At 42.1% G+C, this 7,288-nt stretch overlaps 1 long non-coding RNA gene across 1 annotated transcript; it reads left to right on the top strand.

The window, feature by feature from the left end:
• Window positions 1-4,889: 4,889 nt before the first annotated feature.
• Window positions 4,890-6,469, top strand: LINC02565 (long intergenic non-protein coding RNA 2565). Its single transcript, NR_149129.1, has 2 exons — window positions 4,890-4,951; window positions 6,054-6,469. It is a non-coding gene; the product is annotated as a long intergenic non-protein coding RNA 2565 (long non-coding RNA).
• The last annotated feature ends 819 nt before the right edge of the window (window positions 6,470-7,288 follow it).

Here is a 7,288-nt window from a genome sequence, read left to right as displayed (position 1 = left end):
GCATTTTTTGTAAAAGAAATAAAGAGGAAAGTTGTATACATATTGTATATATATTGTGTATATATATATATAAATACATTCAAGCAAGTTGTATATATTTACACAGACATAGAAGGATTCAGAGGTCTCAAAATCAACAAAGGCATCCTAGACAGCTGCTAAACTCCTGGCCCCAGTGGGTTGGGTAGCATCTCTGAGGAATCACCACTCCCAGGGGACAGGCTTTCTGGTCTCTAAAGGGACCTTAGTGGCCATCTATTCGAACCTCTCATGTTAGAGACCTACAGGCTGAGCCCCAGGGACAGGCCAGAAGGCACAGAGCTTGCTGAGATTTGCTGCACTTTAGCACATTAAATGCCTGGCACAATTTTTCATGATTGTGACATTAATTTGACAAAATTAAATGCAGAGCTGGAGCAAGGGTGGCTGAGTCATTTGTGGAATAAGTTCATATGATGAAATACATGATGAAATAAGCCGTTAAAAGTGATATAGTAGAACAAGGTTTATTGACACCAATACATGAAATATTTCTGAGTTAACAGTGCAGGCAATCATAGTATATATAGTTTGAAATCTTTTAAAAAATACATATGTGTATAGAAAAAAGGCACAAGAAGGTGTGTAATTAGTTAAGATCTTCATGGTAAAGTTGCCTATGAAGTGTAGTATTTCAGAGTTTTCCTGATTTTCTACCCAAAACAAATGTCCAGTAGGCAGTCTACAAGATGGCCCCAGTGATCCCCTCCTCCTGGTATGCATGCCTTTGTAACCCTCCCTCCCCTTGAGTGGGGGCTGATTTAGTGACTTGCTTCTAGAGAATAGAATGCAGTAGAGTTGATGGGATGTCACTTTTGATATTAGTATATAAAAAGGCTGTGCACTCTCTCTTGCCTTCTCACTTGCTTTGAGGGAAGCCCACTGCCATGTTGCAAGCTGCCCTGTGAAGAGGCCTCCATGACAAAGAACTGTAGGGTCCCCTGGACAACAGCCAGCAAGGCAATGAGACCCTTAGTCCAATAGCCCACGAGGAACTGAATCTTGCCAAGAACCACATGGATGAGGTTGCAAGTAGGTCCTTCCCAAGGTGAGCCTTCAGATGAGACCACAGCCCCTGCTGACTTCTTAATTGCAGTCTTGTGAGACATCTTGAGCCAGAGGCATCTACCTAAGCCATGCTCAGATTCCAGTCCCATAGAAACTGGGAGATAATCATTCTTTGTTGTTTTAAACTGCTTAGTTTTGGATTCATGTATTACACAGAAATAGAAACTAATTCACTTATATAATAATATTTTAGAAATCACTTTCTAAAAAAAATTCTAGAGGCAAGTTTGCCAACAAACTCAGCACTAACTTTTTAGCTGCAAATCTCCTTTCCCCTGTCCAGTCCTTTCTTCCTGACATTGCCAAAACTAGTCATATCTGAACACCTGGGTTCTGATGCTTGACTAACTACAGAATCTCCTACTTCTGTAGGCCTCAATCTCCCCCTCCCACCCCCCGTACTTTTTTCAAACACAGCTGCAGCAACCCAACAGCCACACTTTACATAAAGTATCTCCCCAAAGTTCCAAATCTGAAGAAATTCGTGCTTGTGGCCGGCCTCTGGGTAAAATTAGCCCCCGCTTAAAAATGAGGTGCCAAGATGAGCTTCTAAACCTCTCCAGACTTAAAGTTTTCTGTACTTTAACACCTCGGCCAGCCGGGCATCGTGAGAACCTGGAATGATTCTTTATGAGCCCAAGCCCATTAAATGTGCTAGGAAAGTGCTTCTTTAGTCGTTAATGGAGTTGAGCATGCTGAGGGGAAAGAGATCAGATGAATACCTCAAGTTTCCATTCTGTAATCCCAGGAAAGCAATCTTATCAGGAGCTCAGTTAAATACGGTAAAAAGCACAGACCTCTCTTAGTCCTCCAGAGATCCAGAACTGGTCTATTTTGTCTCCAGTGTGGCTCATCGCATAAGCCCAAGACAATCCCACTTCAAGGATAAAATAGTATATTTTGAGGGTGATTAAGCACTAAATGTTCACTAGGTCAGAGATCTAAGTGGCCTGGGCACTCACAGGATTAGGGTACTTGCAGAAAACTGATCCCATGCCAGTCCCACTTTTTGCTCACACTCCCGAGAGTTTGATGCTGGACTTTAAAAAATGCTTCGGAAGTCAGCTGGTTTGTTTCTTGCTCTTCTTGTGATAACAGACCTTCATCTCTTGTCAAGGTCCTTACCTTCCTGTGAGATTGCAGTAACAGAAGAGTAATAATTGTAATAACCACTAGCCACTACATATGCATTATCTAATTTAAATGTTAAACTATGGGGTAGATGTTATTAAATCCATGTAAGAAATAAAGAGATTGAATCATAACAATATTAAATCATTTCCAAGGACATAAGTAGCAAATAACAGACCTGGGTTCAAGCACAGACCCTTGTGACTCTAAGCCTGTGTTCCTTGCAGTGTACCCTGGACGACATTGTTACATGTGCTTTCCCAAATCCACGGACTTCTGGCTGATCCGGGGTTGCAATATGCACTGCACCACCATCCTCTCTCTTGGAAATTCCCTTCGGCTGGGAAAGAAATGGATGATCAAGGTCAGTGGTTTCCAACCAGGCTGAACATCAGAATCCACAGGAATGATGCTAAGCCCCATTTCACCTCTGAGACTTTCAGGTTCAAGCGTCTGGAATGGGGCCACAGATCTGAATTTTTAAAGAAGGGTTCTGGTTGACTCTGACAGTTACATTAAATGAGTATATTTTGGAACCACCAGGCTGAGTGGCCTTAAAATTTTCTTCAAGAACTAAGGCTCCAGGGCAGGAGGGTACTAGGGAAACTGCCTGGCCACCTGACCCTTCTCTGATCTCCTCACTCTCTCAGGTGACCCCTTCCTGGACCTAGCATCCCTCAACTTTTCTGACTTCCCTGGACCAGGCTGGGAACTCACATTCTCTTCTAGAGAATAGAATGCAATAGAGTTGATGGGATGTCACTTTTGATATTAGTATGTAAAAAGGCTGTGCACTCTCTCTTGCCTTCTCACTTGCTTTGAGGGAAGCCCACTGCCATGTTGCAAGTTGCCCTGTGAAGAGGCCTCCATGACAAGGAACTGTAGGGTCCCCTGGACAACAGCCAGCAAGGCAATGAGACCCTTAGTCTCATCAATAGTCTACGAGGAACTGAATCTTGCAAGAACCACATGGATGAGGTTGCAAGTAAGACACCCTGGCCCAACATTGTGCCCCAGCCCACTGACCTGCCTCTGCCTAACCTTTCATTTTGGTACATTTTCTTTGGGTTCTGGCTCCTGCTCCCTGTCATCTAATCCTTCCAGGCCTTTTTGTTGTTGTTGTTGTTGTTAATAGCTAATGCATATATACAGTACAAATCTCCAAGGTTATAAGAGTATATTGAGAATAGCTTCTTCCCAATCTATTACTCAGCCACCCAGATCTCATCCCCAGAAGTCTCCTCAGGTATGTTTTATAAAAAGAAATACAAGGCAGGGTGCAGGGGCTCACCCCTTTAATCCAAGCACTTTGGGAGACTGAAGCAGAAACATAATTTGAGCCCAGGAGTTTGAGACCAGCTTGGTCAACAAAATGAAACCCCATCCCTACCAAAAACAACAACAACAACAAACAGACAAACTAATTGTGCACGATGGCACACACCTGTAGCCTGTAGCTATTCGGGGGGCTGAGCTGGGAGGATCATTTGAGCCCAGGAAGTCAAGGCTGCAGTGAGTTGTGATCATGCCACTGCACTCCAGTCTGGGCCACAGAGTGAGACCTTGTCTCAAACAAACAAAAAAAACATGGTAGCTCACTATATATACCATTCTTTCTTTGCTTATTTTGAGGACACGTTCTTAAAGATTGTTCCAGATCAGTGCCAAGGAAGTTCTGCAGCTTAATTTTCTATTGCATGAGTATGCAATAATTTTTTAGCCATCTTCTATTGAAGAACCTTTAAGCTGTTTCTAACAATGCCACAGTGAATATTCTTGCATGTATGACATTTCTCACATGCATGAGAATATCTGTAGAAAAACATCTGTGAAATTATAGGTCAAAGGGTATGTTGTATTTAACTCCAATTTCTCGTCCTTTCCAAGCCAGGCTTCTAACTCCTGGTACCCTGGGTAACAGAGCTCAGGCCTCTACTCATTTATGTCCCCAAGTCTTTAACCTGGGTCCCTGACTTCCTGCAACTGGAGGCTGCAGTGGCATTTCAGTGTATCCAGCCAGTCTAGTCACCTTCACCTGCTCGATGTGCACTCTGCCAGGCCCTCATCTCAGACTTGTTACTCAGGCTTCCACATCACAGTTCGTTGTAAAGTTTTTTTTTTTCTCTCTCTCTGAAGGGCTTATTCTCCAGACCCTGGGATATCCTTCCCTGTCTAGATTTAAAGCTCTTGGGCACCTTTCTATGCTAACTGACCTCAATAGACATCTCTGTCCATCCAGGTTCTCCCTTTTCTAATTCAACCAACCCAACTCTTCACCTCTCTTAGCTGATCTGCCATATTGAAACTCAAGACCTACCACGACTCATATGATCTAAACCTTCTCCCAGTAAAACCATAGTGTAGGTGACATTTGTCTTAGGGCCTTTCTGTCTACTTTCTCTGGGTCACTCCATGCCCTTAAAAATGCTCTCTGGGTCCCAGAGTTTCCTCTGGACACTTTGCCTGGATTCCCCTTCTGTCTTTAGCAGTGTTTTGTGTCCAGTTTTTTTACATTCCCTTCATTCTTGTTTCAGAACATATCTGTCTTATCTTCTATCTCCCAAGGGTCCAATTAGATAAACTCATCCTCGCTGGCAGATAATGGCACCAATGTGATCATCCTCCTAGAGGTATTTTCATCTTGGTATGGAGCCTCCAGAGCTATCTTTGCTTGAAAGAATGAAACTTCAGGAATGAAAGTTTGCACATAAAGGTGGGTCAGGGGTGAGATATTTTAGGAAAAGAGGAGTGGGTCTTACAGATAGCATGGCATGGTACAAAGAACACACAAAAGAAAACAGGTGTTCCAGGTCACCACTTCTCACTGGGAGATGCCAACAGTCCCTCACTTTGCAGAACCTGTTTCCTCACAATGCATTTTTCATAGTGATATTGAGTTCAACTAAGATAATTGATGAGAAAGTGCTTTGCAACTAGGAAAGACTTGTTCAGGTACAAGGTATTGTTACTCTTTCACCAGCATCCCACAAAGCCCAGAGCACTGAAAATGCCTAGAATTCCATGCCCTTGCAAGGCAGCCACTTGGCAAGAAAGAAGACAAAATCATTCTATCTTTTCTCTGCCTCATTCTCTAGAAAGTACTGATAGCAACAGATAATCCAATGAAGCTCTTGTTAAAATCCTTACATCATCAGAGTCAGCTCTAATTTTTTCATCCTGCCTCAAATGTTTACTTTGATTTCTTAGATTTATACAGAAATAACTTATTTTTATGTTACAGGTAGATATTCTATTTGAATTTGTTTTTGAGCGCTAGACATTTAAGTGTCCTTTCTGCATCCTATCGGTTCTCTCTAAGTTTTGGAAAATGTCCCTTATATCTGGCAGTCAAACCGTGTCTTTCTGCTTATTCAATTTGCTGTGGGATCCTGACTGTTGTGAGGAGTCTTTTGGAACAGCCTAGATGAGAGCTGACAGCTTCTCTTCTCCACACTTAGGATTCCCAGAGCACCCTGGCCACAGCTTCTGTCCTAAACTGTACAAACCTGGTGTCTTGGATGCAGATGCTTTGTTTCTCTGCATTATTCTCTTGCATTTGTTCAGATTTGTACAGGTCCATTACAATTGGTCCAGGTCACTGCCTCCTGGATGATTTCCTCAAGGGAGGCAGGGATTATAAGAATAAGTATTTTGTCCCAAGCCAGAATAATATTAAATGAAAAAAAGAACAAATGCTTCTTTCTATGACAGCTTTAGAGATATCTTTGGCTTCTCATTCTCCCCAGGCCAACTCAAAAGAAAATCAAATCCCAAATCTCCAAAAACTCATTTCTATCCCTACTTGTTCTCCACAGCAAGCCCATGAGAAAGACATTTCGGGAAAACTAGAATCCTGTTAAGTTATGGGATTTTTTTCAAGCCACATGGTTGATAAGTAGTCTGACCAGGATCCTGGAGCAACACAAGGAAGACAAGGACCCTTGAAGACAAGGCAGCCTTGAAACCAAATGAAGCCCTGGGCCAGTGAGCATGGCAAGAGGAAGACTGTTAATTGCGAGAAAGCTGGGTCTTGAAGATGATTCCATATCAACATACAGGGAGTTCCACCACTGAATGGTCTATCGGTTGGGAATGCCATCATTTATTTTCACCAGTGGGGAAGAATTGGTATTAATATCAAAACCACAGTACTGTCATACCCAGCTATAATTTGCAATGTTTATATGCCTGTACGAATGAATAATTAACAGTTAAATGAATCAATATATATCTATCTATGTGTAGGAATATCTAATCTATAATATATGCTCGCGTAAGTGGTAATTAATCTCTTTTTTGAGACAGGGTCTTTCTCTGTCATACAGGCTGGAGTGCAATGACATGATTATGGACCTTCAGGGATTGAGCAGCTCGACATCCCAAGGATCAAGCAATCCTCCGGCCTCAGCCTACCAAGTAGCTGGGACTACAGCCATTTGACACCCCACCCAGTTAATTTTTGTTTTTTGTTTTTTTGTAAAGACAAGGTTTAGCCATGTTGCCCAGGCTGGTCTGGAACCCCTGGGTTCAAGCAATCCTCCCACCTCAGCTTCCCAAAGTGCTGGGATTATAGGCATAAGCCACTGCACCCAGCATAAATAATCTCTTATTTGTTCATCCATGGTGTTGTCTTTAGTTTTTAAAAATGGATCCTTTTGTTATTCTTTTATAGCCCCAGATTAAGAATTTGTCCAAGTTTTGTATATTTTTTCAGTTATTTCAATATCAAAGCCCAGCACATCTTTAAAATCACTTCTATGTATAGATATTAACCTTTTTGACATTTGTGTTTTGGTATTCCATATTTACTCAGTTCTCCTTTCACACCCTCCCTTTAGAAGAGGAGTATGACCATGGCAGGATGGAGGGGTAGTGGCAGTAGGGGCCATAGTATGTTTTCTATATTTATCCAGCATATTTAAAACATGGTATTCTAGCTTCAAGGGAGAACATTGAACTCCCATTTGGACATGTTAAGTTGAAGATGTCTGTTAGACACCCAAGAGAATATGTCAAGCAGATATCATCTGCCCTTGTTTTTCCTTTTCCA

The sequence above is a fragment of the Homo sapiens genome, chromosome 18 (assembly GCF_000001405.40).
Source record: "Homo sapiens chromosome 18, GRCh38.p14 Primary Assembly".
In the NCBI taxonomy this organism is placed as follows: Eukaryota; Metazoa; Chordata; class Mammalia; order Primates; family Hominidae; genus Homo; species Homo sapiens.
This window is presented reverse-complemented; position numbering and strand designations above follow the sequence as displayed.